The sequence below is a fragment of the Homo sapiens genome, chromosome 2 (assembly GCF_000001405.40).
Source record: "Homo sapiens chromosome 2, GRCh38.p14 Primary Assembly".
Lineage (NCBI taxonomy): Eukaryota > Metazoa > Chordata > Mammalia > Primates > Hominidae > Homo > Homo sapiens.
Window position 1 is genome coordinate 69,137,055 of NC_000002.12, and position 25,882 is coordinate 69,162,936.

A 25,882-nucleotide genomic window follows, 5' to 3' on the forward strand; every position below is an offset into this window, starting at 1 on the left:
ATAAAATATTGTAAAATGTGTACATTTTATTCTCCCCCATTTTTATCACCAACTAAAATTTGGCGGATTACTATGAAACTCTCAATTTGCAAAGCTGTTTGTCCCTACAGCAGTCTTTGATCACTATGTTGTGTTTTTTTTAAGTTTATGGTTCTACTTTTTCTGGTCTCTCGCTTCTTGATATCATACCTGTGTTTTCTAATCTAGATACTCCCCTCTGCACTTCTAATTTGACAGTCTAAGCTTCTGGGTACCTGAATATCAGAAAACCAAGCTTACATAAATTGCATATGAAATAAGGATTCCTAGTCTCTAAGAACTTGAGAGAAGGCATATGGCCTAAGAACCCAAGCTTTAGTGAATGACCAATGTGTCCATTTATGCCACCTCCTGGGTTATTGAGGCTATTCCAGATAGTCTTTTGGGTTGAGCACCCTGGTTCAGTGAATCCATTTGAGAGAAGCACAATTATAGGAAGAAGTGCAAAATTGAAAAAGGATCTGAAAAGTCATTGGGAGCCTGGGCAACAGGCTCTACAACAGGGTCTTTTGTAGAGACCCTATCTCTACAAAAAATAGAAAAATTAGCCAGGCATGGTGGCTTGTGTGCATGTAGTCTCAGCTACTCAGGAGGCTGTGGTGGGAGGATCACTTGAATCCAGGAATCCAAGTCTGCAGTAGGTCATGATTGCACCACCCTATGCTGTGCAAGAGAGCAAGACCCTGTCTCAAAAAAAAAAAAAAAAAAACAGTGGGCGCGGTGGCTCCGCCTATAATCCCAGCACTTTGGGAGGCCAAGGCATGTGGATCACCTGGGGTCAGGAGTTCGAGATCAGCCTGGCAAACATGGTGAAACCCCAAATCTACTAAAAATACAAAAATTAGCCAGGTGTGGTAGCGGACACCTGTAATCTCAGCTACTCAAGAGGCTGAGGCAGGAGAATTGCTAGAACCCGGGAGGCGGAGATTGCAATGAGCCAAGATTGCACCATTGCACTCCAGCCGAGGCGACAACAGCAAGACTCCATCTCAAAAAAAAAAGAAAAAAAAAAAAAGAAAGAAAAAAGAAAAAAAAATTGGTAGAGGGGGGAAGGAGTTGTCAGTGGGAAAGAGAAATGGGAGGAGGAGGAAGAGGAGAGATTTAATAGTTTGGGGAAAAGGACCAAAAAGCAGAGAAAATCTGAGAGGATCTCCTTTCTACCAATGCTAAAATAATTGTCAACTCTTTAAATAGTCCAACATTGGCAAAATCAGTGAGCTAAGTTATCTGAGAATGGGAGATGACCCACCAGGATCATATTGTCCTAGTTGGCAGCTTACAGTCATACTGCACTAAATTACAAGTCACCCCAGAGTCATTACGTGTATTTTCTAATCAGGATAGTATTTGGGACTGACAGGATTTATATTGTTTGCATTCCCAGAAGGCAGTCAAACTCCTCCCTCTGTTCCCTACAGAATGACAAGGTCCCATGAGGGTATATAAACACCTTCCCTTTTGCAAAGCAGCCATCTTCTCACCTATACATTAAGGCACCAAGGAAATGCGAAAGGCAGGGAGTTAATTTATTTCTCCTCGAAAGAAGAGTCAGCCACAAACGATACATAACTAACATTCCTTTGCCATTACTGTGGCTACTGGAACAGACGTTAGTTTAGTCAGTGCCCAAAGCAGTGGGCTTCATGTTTTGTTTCATTTTTTAAAAAAATAAAAAGCACTTGAATAAGTGACAACTGAAATATTACTGAGTTTCTTTTCAACACAACCCAGCATCAGGAAAACTGTTTCATTTGCAGGCTGAGGAAATATGAAAGAGCAATTTTATTTTACCTGCATTGCCCAAATTTATGGACTTAGAATACTTTATAGGTATCTATAAAGCTCAAGATTCTTGAGATTGTATATAAAAGGTGCAAACTCAGCCAAAGTAAATATCTACAAAATGCTCCTTATGATGGAGCTTGACCTGGCAGCCCCAGTTAGCTCCTACCTACTGGCCTTAAAATTTGTGAATGTACTGATCCCTAACAGATAAAAATGTTGAATGGCAATTTTGTATTTCATACATCCTCACTCTAAATAAAATTATGTCCATTTCTACTCTGTGCCTTTGATCACATTTCATTTTCCTTCTGGAATGCCCTCTCTTCTTTCACCTATCCAATTTCACTGTGGCCTTAAGGCCTAGCCCAGTGCTTTCTGGACCTGCCCCAGGATGACTCAGTGGCCTCTGCAAGCCTCCTAACTCCCTCTGCTCTGAGCTCAGGCACTGCACATTGCAGCACCTTTGAGAGTTTAACTGCATTTCACCAGTACGGCTCTCCAGGCAAGCCCTGAGAATCAGTCCTGACTTTGTAATTGGACTCTGACAACCTCTTTCAGGGTTAGAAGTTGATGTCTATCTTTCTATGCCTCCTACTGTTGAGCATGCATTAGAAACTCAATGGGAAATAAGTTCTTGGTTTATTGACACCCTATTACACAGTTTAATGACATTGCTTTAAGGAATTGATCATCATGGTTACCTCTGGTTGATCATGGATGATAGATTCATGGTTGATCATAGATGATAGATGCTCGGGTAGAGCATCTATCTTTTTGAGGCACCACCCAAATTCACCTTTCCAAGTTCGTAATCTAAAGCAACAGCCCATGGTATATTGTAGGTGGTGTTTACTTACCAATAATAGGTAACGGTGATGCCAACTAATACATGAGGGATGATCAATCAGACCAATTGAGCATATACATTAAATAAATGGCTACATTAACGGTAAGTAAACGAATCACTATATTTAGTAAAACAAAAAATGAAAATGAGACACCAGCCTTTCTCTTCCAGTGTCATAATATTTGAGCACTACTAAGTACCTTCTCTGTAATCCTATTTCAACACCCCACTTCCAAGAACTAAAGTACTCCAAGTACTAACAAGCTACATCTTGTCTGGATTATTCTCTGAAAACTGGTTTTGATTAACAAGCTCCATGCATTTTATGGAGAGAAAGGGAAGTGCTGAATGAATCCAAAATTTACTTTAATCACCTTCACCATCGTAAGTAACATGAAATGTCATGACTGGGTCAGGGTGACAAGAGTACCACAAGAGTACTTATCACCTTCTGTGATAAGAGCCTCAAAGCTTGAGTTTGTGGGAGTATGTCATCAATCTTCCCCTTAACTGCATATTAATGATGGCTTATCTCAGTCCTTCTGGTATTATTCATATAAGGCATAAAGTAATAAGATTTATAGCAAACTAGGATTTATACATCCATATGATTTCTGCTCCTTCAACGGATTTGCTTTGGAAAACCATATGCTTTCTCCAACAACGCTGTCACTATTCCAAATATATTCTGCACTCTTGCTTTGAAATGGTCATAACTTTAAAGCCACAATATTTGAACATCCTCAGTAGGGGATTAGGGGAATATCATCATCATTTGATTTCTAAAACCCCAAAAGCTGTAGGAACCAGTTCTGGTGAATGATGGATTATCAAGCTCAGAACTTTCATGAATGCTTTCATGAAAAGCAAAGCATGACTAAGAGATTATAAGATTTTCTTTTGGGGGCCTATAAACTGACTTTAGAAAGAGTCCCAAGGGAGGTGTTTCAGAATTGCTTTGGGCAATGGCTGTATCACTGGAGGTAGTCTCCAATCTCCAAAGCCACTAGTTTGGAGATAATTAGATTCATTTGGATGTGGGAATTCAGTTATGTTCACTACATGAACAGCCTCATTGCTTTATAGCCATGCTTTTTAGAAAGAGTTCCACAAAGGTTTAGGTACCTAATACTTTTTCTATACTGCCCCACTTTGGGTTAAGGAATCTACTATCTTCAGTGTCTTATCAATTTAATTGCCATCTCTAGCCCAAATTACCTCTCAGGTGGCCAGAATGAATCACAGTGTTTCATTATGTTACCCTCATTTATGGTTGATCAGCTTTGATCAAGGATATTAAATTTACCATTGGAAACTCCACTTGGGTTTCCCTTTTCTTGACACATGGATGGCAATCTTAAGGGCCTGAATTTCTCAAATGTGTAATCTGGGACCACCCACTAACACCATAGCTCTAGTCAGAGTTTGTACAGGGTTGTTCAAGAAATCAACTTCATTTACTTTGGCCAAGCATGGGCACATCACCAGGAACTTGGCTTGGACGTAGAAGGAAAGGGAGGATGGAAAGGGAAGTGCCATTTTTTGAAGGCTGGCCATGTGCCAGGATCTCTGCATGCCTTGTCTCATGTCATCACAGAACCAATCTGGGAAGCAGGAATTATCTCAATTTCACATACATAAAGAAAAAGAAGTCTTACATTCACCTGTCCATCATTGGAAAGATTTACAATGATTCTGAAGGACAGGCAGTGGAGTTTTAGGTTTCAGGGGCAAGAGCAGTTTTCAAAAGTCTTTGAGTCCAGTGTGCGCAAGTCAACAAGCAGTACCTGGTGTGCAGGAGCACTCGTGAGTGAGTCTGTCTCGGGTCTCGACAATTAGCAATTGTGTGACAGTCATTCTGTTTCCTTCTGCCTGACCCTGGGAGACATACCAGTAATGGATGTGCAAAAGCAGGTCTGTTTTATGTCTTAATATAATTTAAGATTAACTGTATTGAAAAAATGCTGAAGAATGAATGTGTCAAAATGGGTTAACTGTGTACATTGACTTTCATGTCATCATCCATCTGTCATGAATGAGTGATACTTTGCAATGGGCTGGTGTATGACAGTGAGGACCTTAGGGCATGAAGGCTTTTTGCCTGGTCCCAGCAGCATCTGCCCCATGAAGTTTGTTTTCTCTCACTGCCTCCAGGCCCCACTGATACCCCCAAATAGATGCTGGGTTATGAGAACCAGTGAAGTCCCCCATGTCGTCAGTCTTAAAAATAATTTTACAAGTCCACATATTTGTCCCATTCTTGGAGTAGTTTTAGTGTATGTCTTTAAATTAACTACTAACAGTATAAATAACTTGACATCATAAAAAGAAAAGGAAGGCTTAAAGAGGTTGTGCAACTTACTCAAAGCCCACATATTAGTAAGTAGAAGTTTAGGATTTGGATCATCTTTTCCTGCCTCCAAAGCCCAAGCTCTTTGCCATGAGGTTGATGCAGCCATTAACAGGAATGAGACCATGGAGGGGAATTGAGCAGCCACAGGAAACGTAGGCTCCAACGCCATTCCTGCTACCCACTAACTATAGGCGGCATCAGCCTGCTAAATCCTTATTCCCCTCATTCTATTAAACACTTGAAGGGCATTTAGTGGCAATTTGTGTTTGAAACACTGTACTATGTCTCACAGGTACAAATATGAGTAAAGCAGATATGTGTCTTCTAGGGGCTTCTAATTCAGTGGCAGAGACAAGAACATAATAATATAATTTCTATAAAATAAAGTAGATAAGACAGAGCTATGATTATGATAAAATAAGAGCACAAATGCAGAGTTCAGTGGTGGTATTTACTGGTCTCTGTTTCCCACTCAATGACAAGGGCCATGATTGGCAAAACCGTGTCCATTTTATGCTCTTGTTCTCCAGTACTTGGAGAGGGCCTAGCACATGGTAGGTGTTCAATAAATATGTTAGGTATGAATAAATCAGGTGGTACCTGAGCAAAGACTTGAAAGATGAAAAACAGCTAGCCACGCAATGATAGTTAGAAAGAGTGTCTCAGGGAGAAGAAGACCGTGACAGAAGAGCGAGGTATGTATGGGGAGCTAATGCCATTTAGTTCTGTCAAAGCACAAAGTGTGAGGAGGGAGGGGGAGGTGCTGGAGAGATAAGAGAGGGCTTGTATGGGCTAAAGACTCAAAGCCTTGTACCTAGCAGTCCACGAATAGATTCCAGGGATTTCATGGACCCCCTGAAATGGTAATAAAAAACGTGTGAGCCTGTGCATAAATGTGAATGTATACTTTCATTAGGAAAGGGATGTATCACTTCCATAAAATTCTCAAATGTTAAGAACTCTGTGGGCAATGAAGAGCTATTAAAAAGTTCATGGGCAGGCAAATCTATCAGAATATCATTTTAGGGTTTAGAGCCATAAGTGGCTCCAACTGCAGTGTAGAAGATGGAATTCCTGGCAGTAATACTGGTGGTGGAGAAACCAATAAAGAGATCATTGCAATAATCCAGGAAAGAAAGAATGAGATCCTAAGTCTGTTCAATGGTATTAGAGATGAAGTAGACAGGGGCAGATTTGAGAAGTATTTAGATCAGAGGATCAGGATATACTGATGGCACGTGTCATATTGGGGAAGGAAGAGAGGGAGGAAAAGGCACCTGAGGTTGACTTCCAAGTTTTCAACTTGGGCTGATAAGTAGTGCCATCAAATGAGAGGAGAAAATCACGCAGCTTTGAAAAGGAAAACAGTGAGTTCAGTGTGAACGGTTGAGTTTGACATATCAATAGGACCTACTGGACAATTGAATGGTCCTGAATACAACCCTGAAGAATGGGGAGAGATCTAGGCTAGAGATGAAGACTTAACTCATCCATATCTAGATGAGAGTTTAAACTATGGGAGGAAATGAGACAACCCATCGAGAGTTTTAGAAAGAAAACTGGCCATGGACAAGAATGGATCCATCAGTCGCACAATATCATAAATGTACTTAATGCCACTGAATTGTACATTTAAAAATAACAAAATGGTGTATATATCTCCACAATTTTTAAAGAGGAGGAAAAAGATGACCTCCTAGGGCATGCTGACCTTTAAAGGTCAGGTACAAGAAGAAGCCCATGAGGAAAGTGGAAAGGAACGGTCAGAGATAAGAGGGAGATTGGGAGAGTCACAGATGCCAGAGGAATAGAATTTCAAAAACATGCAGGGCAGAGTGGGCGGATGAGTTAGATCATCCCTAAGGTGCCTACCAGAAATAACAGAATATATAAACTCTGGGAGAGAGAGAATTTAGATCTCTAGGCTTGCCCATCTAGAACTGCTCAGCAGTAATAAAATGGCTTAAATTTCATCTTTCAAAATAAAAATTGCCCATGCTTTGCCAGTTTTGTCTGGGCAGGAAACAGCTCAGACCAGCTGCTTGGGATGGTTCTAAATTCCACTCAGAGCCCTGGAATGTGATGCCTCCAAGGCGCCAGTCCTGTGAATCCCTTCCTGGTGCTCACAGAGGGACAGCGGCAGGTGTGCAGAGGCCTCCAGCCTCCCTCTGCCCAGTGGCTGATGTGCCTCTCCCTCTGCCCTCAGGGTCTCTCCTTGGAGCAGAGTGAAGTGGACATAGTTCCTTGATCTCTGCTGTTTCTCTCTCACCAGGATTGAGTCTTTGTAATTAGAACAAGCAGATTGCTACTGAAGTCACCAGGTTAGTGGAACAGAGCTGCCCCCGCTAAAGGTCTCTTTCCCTTGAAGGCACTCCAAAGTGCTTCATAGGCACCCTCACTCTGTACCAGAGAAAGGGGGAGAGAGAGTGGATGGCGGGCCTCTGGGGAGCCTCACATCATCAGCTGCATCCCCAGGTGCCCCGTGGAGGGGAGAATCCAGAGAAAGACCTTTGCCAGCTCTCAAGAAGCTCTAATGGATCCTCAGCAATTTTCCTGTCCTATTTCTGGCAGAGAAAGCTAATATCTCTTCATTGTGGCAGAATCAACCTACTAATTCATTCTTTCATGTTAAATGCTTACAAGATAGTCTAACCGTGTGAAAGCATCCAAGTATCTTCAGTGGCCTCAGTGATTCAGTGTTGCTACTCAGAATCTGCACAACCTAGCAAAGACTGTAGAACTACAGCAAACCCACCAGCCACCAGAGAGGCTTCTGATAACCTCTTCCTTCAGAAATTGACCATACTGTTGTTGTAGAAATATAATTGTTGTAGTTACTCGGACCTATCCTGGGGTTAGTTAAAATAGAGATATTGGGGTCACTGTCGTGGGGGCAATAAAGCATGCCTCTTTCCTGCCTTGATTGTGAATAAACTGAAAAATGAGGCCAAAAAATGATACATGAAAACCTCAGCATTGCCTTTATTACTGTGAGTTGGAGATTTTGGCTGAGTGTGGCAGCAAACAGGCTGGAAACGGAAGCCCAGAGTTAAATAGATTTACCAGTCTGATGGCAGGCAGGGGGCCTGTCCAGGGAAGATGCACAGCCAGAGGCAGAGTTACGGGGGGCTGATTCGCTTAAACTTTAGGGACCCTCACTTGCATGGGTCCCTGCTAGGCCCTTCTAAGGCCAGGGGAGTAGCCCTTATAATTTTGCATTTGTATTTTTATGTTCTCTTTCTTAAAGAGCCTCCACAAAATTGCATCAGGCCCCACAACAGCTGCTTGCATGGAATAGCAGAGAATACCGCCTGCTCCCTCCGGACAGCACACTCCTGAAAACGGGGAGAGAGGAGCCAAACATGCTCGGTTTACACTTTCCTTATTTACTGAATGAGTGGAGGGCAGAGACAGGCCTGGAGTTACGCACACTGAGTGCCCCAACATGGAAAGAAACATCAGGAGGGACAGGAAACGTTCCCTCCTTAACCAACAGTTTTCAAGACCTTACTGGAGGCACTTTATTGGCTACATAATCACTCCATGCGGTGGGCATCAGGCAGAATCCTGGTGCAGACCCAACTTTGAGGTGGAGGATTTCACAGTTTCTTTATTTTGAACTTCCCCCAGGCTCCCACTAATTCCTCTCCATTCTATCCTCCTCCCTTTCCCACAAAAGAAAACAGAAAGGAGCAGCAGTGTTTGATACCGTATCATCCAGAGGCCTGGTTCTCTCCCATTATAGGGCAAACAAGCCCTGGCAAGATATTTCACTCCCGCCCCATGCCATGCATTAAAAATCCAAAATTGCCTATATTCCACCTGCCAAGCAAGAGATGCTTTCATTATTGAAGTTCCAAATGTATACCTTTGAGAACAGTGCCTTCTCGTCTTAAAAGAGAGGTCCTCATTTTGTGAGTTGGGAGCAGAGGGAATTAAAGAAAGCCATGATGCAGGGATTTGGCCATTCAAGCCGGGCAGCCTTCAGAGAATGTCATCCCTAATGACACATGCCCGAATGAAGGAGCGGGGCTGAGCTTGTCCTGCCTTCGTATTGAATGTTGCCTGTCTGCCTCCTTAATAGCGGGCCTCTGTGTGAGCATTTGACAAGACTTAAAACTATTCATTGAAGAAAATGGATGATCCCCCAACAGGAAGATGCAACCCCATGGGCTGCCTGCTTGACCACAGAAGTGCTTCCAGCTCCAGTTGCTCATCTGAGAACTCCCCCCACCACTTGCTGTTAAAATTGTTAAAATTAAAGGCCATGTTGATTGATTTTTTAAACTTTATTTCCATTTTTTTTAATAAAATAAGAATTGGACTTGGGTTGATACTTAGGCTATTGAGAAAATAACATTGGTAAGACTCCACGTGTGGCTGTTTGCTGTTTCTCCCCCTCTGGAATCTTTTTCAAAGGTTTGTGGTGAACTACATGCAGGGGCTACCTGGTAAGGGCAGGTGGCACTGCCAAGGGCAGCAAACACTGAGAGTCTGCTGGGCTGGACAGGTCAGCTTCCGCTGTCATCTGCGTCATAAAGTCAGGTCCATGCAGGTCCCCACTCCAGATTCCCCCTGCCCAATGTGGACTCTCAGAAGGATCATGGAGAATGAGTCTGAACTTGTGAGTCAGGGAGCACCCATTCTCAGAAGCTACCTTGCACCCTGCCAGCTCTCATCTGAGATGAGGCCTGGGCAGGCACAACTCCGCGAGGGGGACCTCTGGCCCAGATGGTCCCACTTAGTTCCAGAGTGGTATCTATGTGGCCCTATGGTCTCACCTGTCCTGGCCACCCTTTCCCCTGGTGAAGAGGGAGGACAGAGGCCAAGCTCACACACCAGTCCCGAGTTAGGCTGTGAGCAGCAGTCCCGACCCTCCTGGGGTGCAATCCGGGAAGGAGATCTTGGAAGCAGGTGGCAGTTAGCACGGAGTATGCCAACAGACAGTGAATCAGGGGCACAGGAGGGCAGCATGGAGGCCAGAGGCCAAGGAGTCGAGGCAGTCTGCCCCAGAGCAAAACAGTGCAGAGCGGAGCCAGGCTCTATGGGGGTCAGGCTATGCCATGTGAGCCCTGCTGCATTCTACATGCCTCCCAGCCACTGGCAAAGCCTGTTCCTTAGCACCTGAGTGTCTTCATCTTGGAACGTGGTAAAGATGGAAAAGGACTGATTTAGCATAACCGAACTATTTTGTGAATGAAGCAAATACTATTTACTAAATAATGCAGATGTGCATCTACTTCTATTCTAATATTGATATACATTCAACAGGTAACTAGAGCCTTTCTCACATTAGCTGTTAATCCCCCTTCACAAGGTAGTTGATTAAGACTCCAAGCCAAGAATCTAAAGGGAAGACAGCCTCTGCCATGGTCCCCCTCCCTCTCTGACTTTCCTCTGAAGTCCATGTTCACCCATGCTATGTGCACATCCACACTGGGCCATGTAAGTGAACTGCTTCTGTCAGAGTGGAAGGAGCAACTGCAAACATGGTCTCAACTTCTGTTGCATCTGCTTAGTCTTTAAAGTATAGATATTTCTTAACTAAATTGTTATAAATCTGAAGTTATAGTGTAATGGTTAAGTGTGCATGTTGGGGGTCAAGGTTCTAAAATTAGACCACATGGATTCAAATCCCAGTTTTGTAACATTAACATTGTGAACATATAAAAATAAATATGTCTGTGGGTGGTATGTGGAGGTCTTGAGTGAGTTACATATCTTCACTGAGTCTCAGTTTTCCTTACCTGCAAAAGGGGGTAACAGTTCCTACAAGGCTGTTTTACCGAGGCTCACTGAATTAAATGAGAGAATGCATAGATAGCACTGAGCACGGTGGTTAGCTGTTGTTAAGTAAGTTAGCATTGGACACAGCCGTAAAAATGCAGGCGTTTCAAGAGTGACCTCGGGAAATGACACTGCCCAGAAGAATTGGGCAGAATTGCAGCTGTCCTCCACCTGGGTCTTCTATTCTGAATCTTTCCCTCCTCCAGTCCATACTCTCCAGTGTCAACAGCATTTGCTTTCCAAGAAGCAAATCTGATCACGATGCCCCAGTGTCACTGGGTTAAAGCCACTAAGGGTTCCCCTGGGCTCAGGATAGAAGCCACACTCCTCAGCCTGGCTTGTGTGTCCTCCCACAGTGGGGACCCCACCTCCTTTCCACCCGCACTCATGCTGTGCTCCCAGCATGTGGACCTCCACTGCCCCTGCCCTACCCCAGGGACTTGTGCTTGCCTTTTTGTGCGGGAATGCTGACACCTCCTTGGCCCTGCTCTGCAGAGTGTCACCTCCTCGGTGAAGTGCTAGTTCCCAGACACTCGGCTCTTCAGCACTTGGCTACTTGCTGAGAACAATAGCCCGCTGGTCTGCTGGGAGCTATGGAACCAAACTGCCCACGTTTAAATTCTGGCTTCTCCACGTGGCTGTCAGCAAGTTTGTCCATCTCTCCTTGCCTTGGTATTTTTAGTGAGATGAGAAAGAGAATATTATTGAATTCACAAGATTGTTAATGAGAATTAAATGAGTTAGCGTAAGGAAAGCATGTTAGTACATAGAACACTGCTTGGCACACAGTAAATGCTCAGTGAATGTCCGCTGTGCTAACAACAATGTTATTACCATCATTGTCATTATTCTTATTCCACCAAAATGTAAGCTCTTTAAGAATAAAGACTGCCTATTTTGTTCACTACCTGACACAAAAGGTACAGGATATACAGCTGTTGAGTAACACGTTGACCACTGCATGTGGTTAATTGTTTATACGAATGCCCAAGCCCCATCAGCCAGCAGAACACAAGCATCTTGACTAGCCAATCAATCCTGTATTTCCTGGTTCTGCTCAATGGGGAAATAATAGACCCTCAATAAACGTTTGCTGAATGAATAAATGAATGAACCTCTGAGGTTGCACGTACACGTTATCTCCTTCTAAAACATCAGCTTTAGCTCTAAGTTTATCAAAAACTCATGCCCTTCATTCTTTTAAACTGGATATCCAGGGGCTTCTGGAAGATCTCAAAAAACAGACAGTGCATTCGGGGGCTTTATCCCAGAGCAGTCTTCAGAGGAGGATAAAGTTCCTCAAGAAGTGTCTGCCCCTGTGCATTTCCACCCACCAGGACCCCCTTTCCTGCACCTCTCCCCTTCCTGAGCCCCCCGGCTGTCCTCCACCACAGCCAGAGGGAACTGGGCCTCATTAGGGGGACAGTTTGTTCCTCATTAGGGGCACCAAGCTTGGCTGGAGAAAAGCCAGCTATCACTTTATCCAAAGCCAGGAAATCTCCCAGTATGGAAGCCCCCTCTCTCCCATTCTGCACCAAGTCCTTCATTCTCGCTACTTCACGGAAAACCTTCCTCTAGAAGGAAGTAAAAAAATTCCCCCAAAATATATCAGCCCTTCTGCTTTAGTTCATCTACCTAAAGTGAAAAAATAAAACCAGGGAGAGGGGAAATTGTGTATAATGTGAATAAACGTAGTCTGTAGACTTTATTGAAGTACTGCTGTTTTGTAAGCCTCTTACTGACCAGAACCACTTATTATTCCAAATGCACATAGATTTATGATCTGAAATGCTCACCATGTTTTTTACCCTGGAGAACTAGAGGGAGAGCGAGTTCCAGCTCAGTGTTTGACAAGATAGCTTACATCATTTTATCCCCACGTCAATGCAGTGAGGCAAGTGAGGTTTATTATCTTCCTGTTATGAATGTGGGCTGTAGAGACTGAGAGATTAAGAGGGTTGTCCTTGGCCAGCCCTAAGTTTGGAGAAAACATGTAATTTCATTCTGTCACTACTGAGCCCATCGCTCTCTGCCATCACCCATGTATAAATGTTGCAGCCCAGAGCATCCCGTCGGCCATGGCATGTCCATCGTCTGGCCCCTGTGCTCTCTTCCCTCCCCCAACTACCCCTGGGCTGCCCAGCCCTGCACCGGCACTTGTGAGGCTGCAGCTCCCCTGGGGGCAGTCTGGCATTCCCAAGCTCTGGCTAGGGACCAGAGGTGTTTAGTTCCCTGGCTTTTTGGTCAGAGACATTCCAGGGAGTTTCAGCAAGTAAGAGCTGCCTTTAAACAGCTTCCAGCAGCCCCTGCTGAGCACTCAGAGTGGGAGTGAGCCACATCCCAGCTCTGCTATTCACCTGCTGTGTTACCCTGAACAGACCACCCAGCCTCCCTTCCCTGTAATGGAGAAGAGGGAGCAGCTTTGAGAATCTGATAGTGCTGTGAACAGTCTCCCCTGAAGACACTTGCACTAAACATCACAGGTGTCATTTCAGGAGGGTCACAGTGTCCATCCATTGAGCCCACCTGGGTACCCCATAGATCCCCTGCCCCTGGATAAGAATCCCTGGGCCCAGTGAGCTCTAACACCAAAGTGGGAAGCCCCCAGATACAGATTTTTTTAAAGGAAACTTCAGTAGTTTATTTTCTCACTATGAAAGAAAGAAAATAGATTTTAAAAGGAAAATTACTATAAAACCACTACCAGTAAAATTACTATTAATAATTTAGTAAATATAAATTTAAAAATTTAGTAAATATCAGACAGTCTTTATGTCTCTCTCACTCTTGACATACATATACATAAATCCATTATACCAGGAGTGTTTTGTCATCTTATTTAAATATCATTTAAATATTATTTGACAATATGGCTGGGCAGAATGGCTCACACCTATAGTCCCAGCAGAGTGGGAGGCCAAGGCAGAAGAATCACATGAGCCCAGGAGTTCAAGACAAGCCTGGACAACAAAGTGAGACTCCATCTCTACAAAAAACAAAAAAAAATAATTAGCCAGGCATGGTCACATGCACCTGCAGTCTCAGCTACCCAGGAGGCTGAGATGGGTGGATGCCTTGAGCCCAGGAGTTCAAGGCTGCAGTGAGCTATGATCACACCACTACACTCCAACCCAAGTGACAGAGTGAGACCCTGTCACAAAAAATATGAATAAATAAAATTATTTGACAATGTAATGTCTACATAGTAACCGATTGCGTAGTAATTCTGTAATGCATTATTTAACTTTCCCCAATTGTTAACCATTTATGTTTTCATTATTATTATTATTATTATCTGTACAAACATATCTGATTATTTTCTTTTTTTTTTTTTTTTTTTTTTTGAGACGGAGTCTCGCTCTGTCGCCCAGGCTGGAGTGCAGTGGTGATTATTTTCTTAGACTAAAAGTGGAATAGCCAGTTCTATGCAGAAGGAAGCTTTTGATACCTATCACAATTTGCCCCCTCTCTCCTAGAAAGATTTGCTGATTTGCACTCCCAGTAGCTGTAGGGAGGCAGGGTGGAGGGGACTTAGACCCGTGTTCCTAAGCAGCTTCCTTGAACCAGCAACTCAGAATGTTGACACCAAGTGGGGTCTCTGTTTGCTAAAAGTTAGACATCGCAGTCCACAGAAACTGTGTCTAGGACTGGCCTCGCCACATTTTTAGGTGGGTAAAACTGGTCTTCAGTGCCTTCCTCCCTCCCTCATTCCCATGTAGCCACTTGATCTGACTGTAGCCCCTCGCCTCCCAGGTTCAGCAGCCGTTGCTCTGCCCCCACCCCCTGGATTCACAGACCCTACAAGGCATCCCATCAGCAGGCTCTAGACTTTCCATCCACAGCTTTATGAATCTGTTACATGCACCTGTGTGAATGGGTTCAGGGGAGCAGGCTGAATTCAGAGTACAATGGTCCTGAGTCAGCCCAGGCAGAGACTGGGACATCAGACCCAGTGAGGAGGCTGTCACCAGGCAGGGGATGGTGTTCCAGGGGGCCAGATGAGCAGTGGAAGTCCATGTTCATGCCTGCTCTGTCTCTTATGCAGTTGGTCTTTCAAAATGTTCCTCAAAGGGAAGAACAGGGCCTCTCTGAAAAGATAAATTCATTTCCCTTGAAAATTGGCTAAACAGAGTGTGTTGCAGGGCCATGAGCCCCAGAATGATGGGCAGAGTTTCAACCATTTGCTTGGCAAACTGTGCTGCTCTCTGAGCCTTAAATCTGCATATCAGTGATGGGAGTTTGGGGAGGGAAGATCACACATGGTCCCATCCCGCTGCTGACCGCCTCTCTCTTGGCCCTGCAGTCTGACGGTTCCATCCTGGCCATCGCCCTGCTGATCCTGTTCCTGCTCCTAGCCCTGGCTCTCCTCTGGTGGTTCTGGCCCCTCTGCTGCACTGTGGTAAGTGCCCCAAACCTCAGGCCATGCAAGGTGAAGGGTGACATAAAGTTCACAGACCATGAGTAGAGAGAAAGGGATTTTTAAAAAACTAAAGATGGGAGACAAATCTTGCATTTTTTATACAATTTATACAAAATTGATGTGAACTGACATTGATCAATGGAACCATGAGTCACCAGCAGTCAGTATGAGTTAGGGTGTGAGATTGCCAATGGCCGTGCCCCTTGGGTGGGGCAACTGGGGTGGCCGCTTTAGTTCTGGTGCTTAGGGAAGATCCACAGGACAACACAAATGATGAGTGTTATTCGACATGTAATGAACATATATGCCTCTGTGTACGGTACACACACATACACACATACACATTTGTTGAGTTGCCCAACCTATACTCTTCTAAGGCCACCCTGGTCTTAGTAACTAGTCTACCTATCTGAGAAAGTGTCTCTGGCCTGACCTCTTTATTTTCAACAATGAAGAATGGCATTTACCTTTATTCATTGATTTTGGCAACTTTTATAGGACACACCTACTGTGTGACCAGCACTGGGCTAAGCACTTTGGCTACAAGATCAATAAAAACCTGCCTCCTCCCCATCAGTGTCATATGGAGTCATCACATGACAATGTCTCCCCAGAATAGCTTAGGGCCTGGAATAATCCACCCTGACGATAATCCCAAATGGTAAATGTCTGGCTGTCAATTTCTGTTCCCTGGCCCTTAGACTGGGAGAAGTCCAAACAAAGTAATAGCCAAATAAAGAAAAAAAAACATTCCCTGTGACATGTCTATTTCTAGCCTGTGCCCTGCCTTTCAACAAATCAGTGTGTGCTGTGAAGCCCATGAATGTGAAGTGGCCACTGCTCCACTGCCATGGCATCTTCATTTCCTGTATTTTAGTTCTTCCATGGAAGGGCCGGCAAGGCACAATAGACAGTGAGCCTCTCCAGGACAGGGACTCATCTTCATTTTCCCTCTGAAACTTCAGCATTTAGCACACAGTGTGAGGGAGTTCACATCTGTGTGTACAGCTCAACTGAACCAAGACCACAGAGAGACAGAGCACTGGACTTGAAAAGCAAGGGGAAATGGCTTCGGATGACATGTTAAAGAGGTGGCAAATGAGTGAGATGGGAAGCTCAACCAGGATGTGGACCATATGGCAGGGACTTCTGGAAAGGGTTGACTTGCAGCAGACAAGTATGGAAGGAGAGACCCAGGACAGGCACAAGTCTTGGGTTAATTAGGACCCTGCAGGCTGGGCTGGACTTCACCAAGATTTTAAACAGATTCTTACCAGAGCAGCTCCAAGAGTTAAATGTTGTTTTAAACATTTAAGGCTGCAAAACCATTTTATTTTGAGGGTAAAAAATCCTCATGAGTCAGCCCAAGTGCTTTCTATGGAGATTCAAAAACAAGCACATTTTCAAGTCTAGAAAAAGAAAAGAAAAACCTTACAGTGGGTTCTTAAAGAAGAGTCGGCAGGCCTGGTAGCAGCAGGCAGTGAACACTATTATAGTTCCTTTGATTATTTACAGTTACCTCTGGGTGAGGACAGCTAGGAACATTAGAACAGCCAAGCAGTGCTCCACCAAATACTGGCTGTGTGACCTTGGGCAAGTTTCTTCACCTCTCTCTCAGTTTCCTCATTGGTATAATGAGGACAATAAGAGCTCCCACCTCATCGTTAGATGGTGAAGACTATAAAGGAGTGTATATATATGTGCTTAGAAAGCACCTAACACATAGTAACTGCTGTATATTATTATTATTTAAAAGTATTTTACTGTAATAGGAATCTATTATGATACTGGATGGCATTCAGTTTATATTCTTTGGAAATGTTTCTCAAAATAAACCTTTTGTTATTGGAAGCAATGTCACCCAAGGCCAAATTGAGTTTTGCAATATTCAAAATATTTTTCAATGAATTTATCTGGTTAAGTCCCTGTTGCTTTGGAAGGCAGCCAAAATGTCTTAATGTGGTCTGACTTTGTAAGTCGTGAAGGATTTCTTTATGAGGGTTGATCTTCGGGATTCATTTTCCTGTTTATGATGTCTATTTAAGCTGCCTCCTCTCACTCTTTCTGAAAGCTGGCTTGGGCTCCAGTGCTTGGTCTGCCCCCTAAAACTACTTGCTGATCACTTGCTTCCTTGATGAGGGGTGATGCTCCAGAGCAGGGCAGATTAAGGTCATATGTTTCCTAAACAGTATACTCAGGAATGAAGGCAAACATGGGCCTCCCATCAGAGTTTCATTCAGAGGACACAGGGAAGTTTCTCTCCCGAGATACAGCACCCCTCACCACAGTCCCCAGATTAATAGAGGGCATTCTTGTAAACAATGGTCCTCAAACCTTCCTCTGTCACTCTTCCTGCATCTACCCCAAGGGTGGGGAATGCCCCTCAACCTACTAGCAGAGCCGCATCTCCGTGCTGGAGGAAAAGCCAGAAAGCAGAAAAGACCTAAAAAACGTGGGGTACGTGTCTGCCGTGTGCCTTCTCCTTCCTGCTGCAATCTTTTCTTTAGGAGTGATACTCAAAATATTTAACAACCTGCAAGGCCCCCACCCCCGCTGAGCCACACATTAACCCACAGTGGCTGGGTATGTGAAGGGGTGGGGGATGAAGTCCTGCAGGGTGGCTGGGTAGGAGAGCAGGCCCAGTTACTAGCTACAAAGGCCAGTTTTAGATGTACTGGCCAGGATGAGCAGACCAGGCACAGGGGCTGCTATCAGGCCTGCCTCTGCTCAGCATCCTCCTGCTTCCTGCTGGTCCTGTCTGGAAGAAGAAACCTGATGGGTGAGGGTGACAGATGATGCCTACCCACTGCACTTGGCCTTTCCCTAAGGACCCCACTCCCCCATTTGGGCTCTTAACTTCCAGCCAAATGGAACCTGAATTAACTTGTTGCCAGCCTGCCAGATGTAATCTACCAGTAATGACTGATGGGGAGAGAGAAAACTGACCATATCCTGAATCAAACCTTTAGTGTTTCCCAGCTTGTTCCTCAGTATCGCCAGGTGGACCTCTGGCTTTTAAGATTCCTATACCTATTCATTGGCACAAAACACCCACCTTGAAGGGGAGAGAGGTATTGGACTATGCACACTGGGCTTATTCGCATTTTCAAATAGGTAATTCAAGGGGTTAATATTTTCCCAAATAATAATAATAATAAAGTCCTGCCTCAGTTCCACAAGGGACATTTCCAGAACCCTTCAAGTCACGCCATGCCCACTCCAGCTACTCATAAGTTTGGTCCGATATTATTGAAATCTCAAAATTGAACTTTAAAAAGAGGAAGACTAGGAAATCTAAAACAGAAAAGGATCATTTTTTTAAAAAAAGTTGCAATGTATTAGACGAGTAAATGTTATGAATGGCTTGAATGTGTAGGGGGGAAAGTCATCAATGAATCAGTGACATTAGGGCACTAAAAAGTTGTAGAAAATGCAGGTATCCCTGAGAGTCTCCCCTCACCCCAGCCAAGAGCCAATGCCCTGATGGGAGCCTGCAGCCCAGGTAGGGGGTGGCTTTATGTATACAGAGAAAGGCCATCGTATCCTGCCTAAATTTCAGCAGGTAGCAAGACACTGGAGGATTCCGATTAGCAATGGGGACTGGCTGCCCCAAATGAGAAATCTGGAGTATCGAAGAAATCCCTGTTGGGGCTCTCAGTTTCATGACTCCATGTTGACACTCTGATAAACACCCCAATTCCCGATCTCCCCTCTGTCCCTATACCTACACCTTCCCGGTGGTGTGTGTTCTCCCCTCCCGCTCCCAAGATATCAGTCACCTCAGAAGAGAGCAGCCCAGCTTGCTGATGGGGCCACTGCACATTTATGAGGGCTTCAGCACTCATACTTTAGCAAACTGCTAACTTACCTCTATGGATAAGAACTCCTCCCAAACTGCAACCGTTTCTCTGAAGTTCCCTGTACTACCTCTGGCTGTCTCATATTCAGCAGACAACCTGCTGTTCTATCTCCGTGAGAAAACAGAAGCTGTGCTGTCAGAAATCCTTGCACTCCAGCACCCTCATATGTGCATCCTCCTCCAGCATCCCTCTCCCTCCCTTTCCACAGAAGTTCTTCGTTTCTTCCTTTCTCACCCAGCATCTTCCTCCTTTCCTTTCCACTGGCTTCCTCCCTCTGCCTACAAACATACGCCAGCCACCTTCATCCTTTAAAAAATGTGTCTATGTTAATCTGTCCTCACACTACTACAAAGACATATACCTGAGACTGGGTAATTTATAAAGAAAAGAGGTTCAATTGGCTCACAGTTCTGCAGGCTGTACAGGAAGCATACTAGCTTCTGCCTCTGGGGAGGCCTCAGGAAGGTTCCAGTCATGGCTGATGGCAGAGGGGGAGCGAGGCATCTCACATGGTGGGAGCAGGAGGAAGAGAAGAACGAGGTGGGAGGTGCCACACACTTTTCAACAACCGGATCTCAGGAAAACTCACTATCACAAGAACAGCACCAAAGGGATGATGCTAAGCCATTCACGAGAAACCCCACCGCCATGATCCAATCACTTGATGGATCAGGTGATGACTGATGGCTGCAATCAGCCAATCACCTCCCACTAGGCCCCTCCTCCAACATTGGGGATCACAACTCGACGTGAGATTTGCGTGGGAACACGGATCCAACCCATGTTAATCTCATGCCTTATTTCTCCTTCATGCTACTCTCTTCTCCTTACCTTCCTTTCACCCACACACTCCTTTGCGGAGCATCCACTGTCCACAATTCCTCTCCTTCCCTCTTCCTCCCACTGCACCCTGAGCACCATTGCCATTATTTCTCCAATCCTTCGCTTGCAAAACTGAATTTCCCAGCCAGTGGTCTCCATTCACTTCTCATTCTTCTTTACCTCTTTCAGCAGTAGGCACTGTCGACCTCTCTCTCCTTTAAACTGTCTCCTCCACTGGTGTCTGCTGGCTCTTCTCCTACGTCTCTGTGCAGTTTCTCCCTGTCTCCCTCATGGGCTCTCTTTCCTCTGCTTGCCAATTGTTCTCCAGGGTTGCCTTCCACCCTCTTCTCTAACACATTGTTCCTGGTCAGTGTCACCAGCTCCCACAACTTCAACTACTTAATGTGTTTACCCATCACTGGCCTTGGCTCCAGAGGACCAGCCCACATTAAAGGGACCAATGGACATCTCAAATGCAGGCATCTCACCCTCAACATACCCCCCACTGAACTCTTCACGTTACCCCCTAAACCTGCTCTTCATCAATGGATGTGCCATTGTTCTCCAGGCTGCCCAGACTAGGGACTGCAGAGCAACCGCTGATGTCTTCTTCTGTCCCTCCTTGTCTTATCTCACTTTGGAGCTGCCTACAGCACATCCTTTCCCACACCTCATCTTATCTCACATCTGTTCACACCTTCTACTCCAGCACAGTCACAGTGTCTGTCACTCAGTAGTTGCTTAAGAAATATTTGTGGAATGAATGAATGGATACCATTGTCTTACTCTAGGATTCCGCATCTCCCACCTGAATTATTTCAGCAATTTCCTAACTGCTCTTTTAGTCTTTCTCACCTTCATTAAAGAGACTTTTCATTTTTAAAAAAGGCAGCCAGGTGATGAGCCTACTCACTACCCTGCCTAGAATTCTCTTGAGTGTTCAGCGGCCGTAAAACAGAGTTCCCGTCCCTTGAGATGGCATGAGTAGGGCTTTTCCATCCTGGCCCCACTTCTCCAGCCTCACCTCTTACCTTCCCCTCCTGTGCAGGGTCTCCCTTAGCACCTGTGCCTGCTTCTTTCATAGCACTGATCATGCTGTGAAAATTGCCTGTTTGCTTGTCTGTCTTCCTCTGTTAAGCTGAAGCTGTTGGAAGCCAAGGCTGTAGGTCCCCAGAGCATAATACAGTGCCTGGCTCAAAGCTGCTGCTCAGTGTATCTCAAAGTTCATTAGCAGCCAAGTGGATGGAGGACCAACTGTGGGCACACTCTACTCTTTGGGGCTCATTAAACATATCAGGTACTTCCTTATCATGATCTTTTTGCTCATATTATTTCCTCTTGCTGAAATAGTTTCACCTTCTTTATGTTCTCTATACAATTCTTCCTTCAAAGTCCAGCTTGTTGTTCAGTCCATTTCAGTAGCATCCTGCACACCTTTTCCTCACCTGGGGAGGATCAGCTGCTATCTCACTTGGTTTCCATGGCGTTTTTCTCACACCTGTTTTAGAGCATTTGCTCATTCTATCACAAGTATTTATGTATATATCTCTCACTGTACAGACAGTCCCCAACTTATGGTGGTTCAACTTAGAATTTTTCGACTTTGTAATGGTATGAAAGCTGTGTGCATTCAATAGAAAGCATACTTCAAGTACCCATACAACCATTCTGTTTTTCACTTTCAGTATAGTATTCAATAAATTACATGAGATAGTCAATACTTGATTATAAAATAGGCTTTGTGTTATCTATTTTGCCGAAGTTTAGACTGATGTCAGTGTTCTGTGAGCACATTTAAGGTTGGCTAGGCTAAGCCATGACGTTCACTAGGTTAGCTATATTAAATGCATGTTCAACTTATGACATGTTCAGCTTACAATGGGTTTAATCTGGACATAGTCCCATCATACATCGAGGAGAATCTGTACCATGAACTCCTCCATGGCGAGGAGAAACTAGTCACAGAAACTAATCCCAAAATATGGTACAGTGCCTAGTACATATTATAATTTGTGTATTTTCCAAATCAAACTAAAAACCTAAGTCTTCCTAGGGGAAGAGTGTTCGATGCAGAAGGAGCCCACAGACCTATGGAACTGTAATGAGTGGTTGTGTCATGGGGGTTTGTATTATCCTATTTCATGACTTACATGTATGTTATATGCAATATTTTATATGTATCTAATATTATATAACAAGGACATTCAAATCAGTTTCTTAAATAAAATCCTAGAAATAGGCCCATTTTATTGAGAGGTTAATGGTATATGAGAAACCCCAAGTGAAAAGATCTTAGCATATTTTGCAAAATGAAAAAGTTCTGAGCAGGGCACAGTGACTCGCACCTATAATCCCAACACTTTGGAAGAGCCGAGGCAGGAGGATCACTTGAGCCCTAGAGTCTGAGACTAGCCTAGGCAACATGGTGAGACAGCATCACTATTTAAAAAAATAAAGTTCCGGAAATTAGTTGCATAATTATGTGAATATATGTAACACTACTAAACTGTACACTTAAAAATAATTAAGATAATAAGTTTTATATTAAGTTCTTTTAACCACAATTAAAAAGAAAAAAAAAATCCTGCTTTTAAAGCTGCAATTTTTCTGCAATCCAACTAGTTAAAACACCACACTATTTAGGTCAAATCAAATCACTGTATTTCTGTTCATATAACAACAATTTTTTTTCAGTATTTTGGGAGAGGCTCATGTCCATGCATTCAGAATTTTTTCCTATATAAACAAAATTGTTCTCCCTGTCTTGTTTTCAGTGGCCTTATAGGTATCTTATGAACAGCTTTTAAAGAATTACGTAACAGATCACTTTTAATTCATTTAATTGAATTTCAAGGATAGTTCAACAAATAAGCCCACTGGACATCTCCAATGACAAATTGCAAAGGGCAAAAATTAATCAAAAACTTGATATACCTTAAGTGGAAATAAAAATAAAGCATTAAAATAATGTTCTTCGCACCGTTAAGAATAACATTTAATTTGTAGGGCCAGACAACCCAAGCCTAACATCACCAAAAGGATTTACTGACAGTTTAATAAAAACACAACTGGGACAGGCAACTTCTGATGCAGGCATCTTGGGCCTAATACTGATTGTGCCTTCTTGATCCTGTTCCAGCCTCCACCCATTCCCATATGGACACGCCTCAGGCTACAGCTGACAAGATTATTTCTCGTTAGCACACAGAGCTCTGCCATGACCTGCCCTCACCTCTGGAGGGCAGGTACACCACACACCTCACACACCCATTTTTTTCTCATCTCTGGCTTCCCTCATCCTTTGTGGGCTGCCTGATAACCCCCAACCCCCATGCTTATGCCTGCCGGTGAAATGGAAAGAGGCGAGTTGTTGTCAAAGTCGACTGGGTTTCAATGCCGCATCTTCCTCTTCTGGTTAAAGGATTAGTCCAATCCTTTAACCTTAATTTCCCCCGTGTGAAAAACTAGAAAATTGGAACCATATTGTCTCTAAGGCTGCTTCCTCATATTCGTACCTTCTTTGAGTGAATCTGCTTCTCCCTTTCAAGATTCCCTGGTCTGTGGTTTTCAAACCTGGTTGCATACTGAAACCATCTGAGGAGTTTTTATATGATACAAGTACTCAGGGGCAGCATTTCCAAACTATGTCAGGGCAATCATACCCTGCAAGTATGAATAGGGGCACTTCAGAACAAGAGGTATTTAGACAGTGAGTTTTAAAGACATCCTTAAACTAAGTTGAATCACTGCCTTTACTGCAGGACTTCTCAGAGTCATTAATAGGATAATTTGCATGTGACTCTTCAAATTTATTTTGACCCTAGAACTCTTCCTTGGCCTGTCACTACCTGTACTCTCCCAAACACTTATTAACATACTGACATCTGGAAGGACACCAGTATTCTGCCAAATACTATTTGGGAAACACAGTCCTAGAGAACGCTGAAGCAGCTAAAAGAGCAGGTTCCTGGATCCTAAGATGCAGCCTCTTTTGTGCCCTCCCTGGAGGCTGTATCAATATCAACAAGCTTGAACATCTTGTGAACATCATCAACTCACCCTTGTTCCTTCTGTGCCCTGCTCAGATCCCACTGACACTACTAGTGTCTAAAAATCGGCTTTCCCGTAACCCAGGCAGAGGCCAGAGGCTGCTCCTTCAAGCCTCAGGGAATCTGAAATCATGGATTTATTTTGCTGTTTCACTTCACAGACTTTTGCAGTGACACTGGCATACCATCTGATGGAGACCATGCACAGCCATTCTCTCACATTACCATGTGAGTCCCTTAGGCCCTGTGGACTAATGGTAAAGCTCCTGCTGCAACTCTCACTTTAGACAGTGATGAATTGGGCCTTTTAAATAGTCTCAGTCTTAAGGGAGATGAGATGAGAGACCAAAAATCATTTGAAATCTGAGTTCCAAATTGGAGGGAAAAAAAGTTGACCTCATTTCTTTGAAAATTTCTGGTACCACATTCCAAATTAACACCCTTGGTACCATCCTTTGCTAAACTTTTACAGTGTAAAATTACTGGATTCAGGCAGTCCTTGGCCAGCATTAACCCACCCCAATCAGTCATGAGGTCTCTATTCAATTGATGCTGTCTATACAGTGGAAAGATTCCTTTATCCTCCATCAACTAGCATCTCATCTCTCCTGGATGTTTTCCATATCAAGTTGCCTACTTTCCCTTGATTTCTTGACTTCAATTAAAAGAATACTTACAAGGTTTGGGAGCCAGAATGGAAGGCTAGAATGTAAAAAGGGTCAGAGCAAGCATCTCCTTCTAGCTGTGACATTAAAGCCCTTATTAGATGGCTTTTCAGATCTGGATTGGCATTTCTTCTATACATAACTCTGTTCTGGTGGCTTCTCATGCAGAATTTAAAAGGCCAGGGGGGCAGCAGTTGAGCCGGCTTTAAGAGATCAACCCAGAAGTCCCCCAGGACATACAGTGCTTTAAATCAAAGGCTTCAAAAAAGACCTTTGTCATCTAAATACAGGCACATTTATTTGAGCTAACCTCTGAGCGTGCAGGAAGTCATCATTTGTGGAAAAAAAAAAATCCATTACTATTGACTGACAATGCAGCAGACTCCACAGCAAAAGAAAAACAAAAATTCCTGGAAAAAATAGAATAGAAGTTGCCTTAAATGCATAGCCAGGCTCATGAGAAAATAGGAGATGTTTCCAGGGCCCAAATAAAGCAGGATCTGGAAATCAGATGGTCATCTGACCCTAAAGCAGTGGCTTCCTGCCTGAGATTTTCTTATCTCAGTAACCTAGATGTTTGGCTTAATAGCCTTTCATGGGCCCATAAAAGTTTGGGAGTTGAAATTGAGTCTTCTGCCTAAAGCTGCCTAAAGCCTTGAGTGAAAGATGGGCTATGGGTTTGATGTGGGTGTGTATGTTTGTGTCCCTAAGAATTCATAACCTCTGAGAGGTCTAGAGTTCAAACTTACACTACTTGAGGTTTTGTAAATTGGAAGCTGAGAAAAAGTTTGGAAATGCTTAGGGATCTGCAAGAGGAAACCTGAAACCTCTGGCAGGTTCGTCCCTCAACCCAGGCCTCATAGAATTTCCATAGGTAAATGCCTACTACACATGAGCTCACAATCCCAAATTACCAAAAACCCAAGGAATATTATTTATTACTTGGGCCCTTGGGATTTTATGATACACATGGAAAGCACAAAAGACCAGAGAAAGGATGAGGAAGTCAGTCCCTGTCAGCACTATTCCCTTTGCTCTGTCCAAAGTTAACAATAATTGTTAAATAGCAGATACACTGAAAATTCTCTGTGTATCACCATTTCTCCTGTAACATGAAATGTGTTCCTGAAGATATGACTGCATTATGGAATTTTGGCCCATGAAAATAATAGGACTAATGGGGGAAATGGGTTCAGAGCAGAACATTCAAAACTGTGCGATCTTACAAAATAATATATTAGGTTGGCGCAAAAGT

General features: G+C 43.8%; 1 protein-coding gene across 4 annotated transcripts in view; it reads left to right on the forward strand.

Moving 5' to 3' along the window:
• ANTXR1 (ANTXR cell adhesion molecule 1) overlaps positions 1–25,882 on the forward strand; it is a 236,184-nt gene that overhangs the window by 123,911 nt on the left and 86,391 nt on the right. For 2 of the 4 annotated variants that reach the window (NM_053034.2, NM_032208.3), the window contains exon 13: positions 15,115–15,210. In NM_053034.2, the coding sequence (NP_444262.1) occupies positions 15,115–15,210 (96 nt within the window). Of the gene's footprint in view, positions 1–7,230; positions 7,341–8,271; positions 9,312–15,114; positions 15,211–25,882 lie in introns of those variants that run through there. The other 2 variants (NM_018153.3, XM_017005077.3) reach the window with 2 other exon arrangements.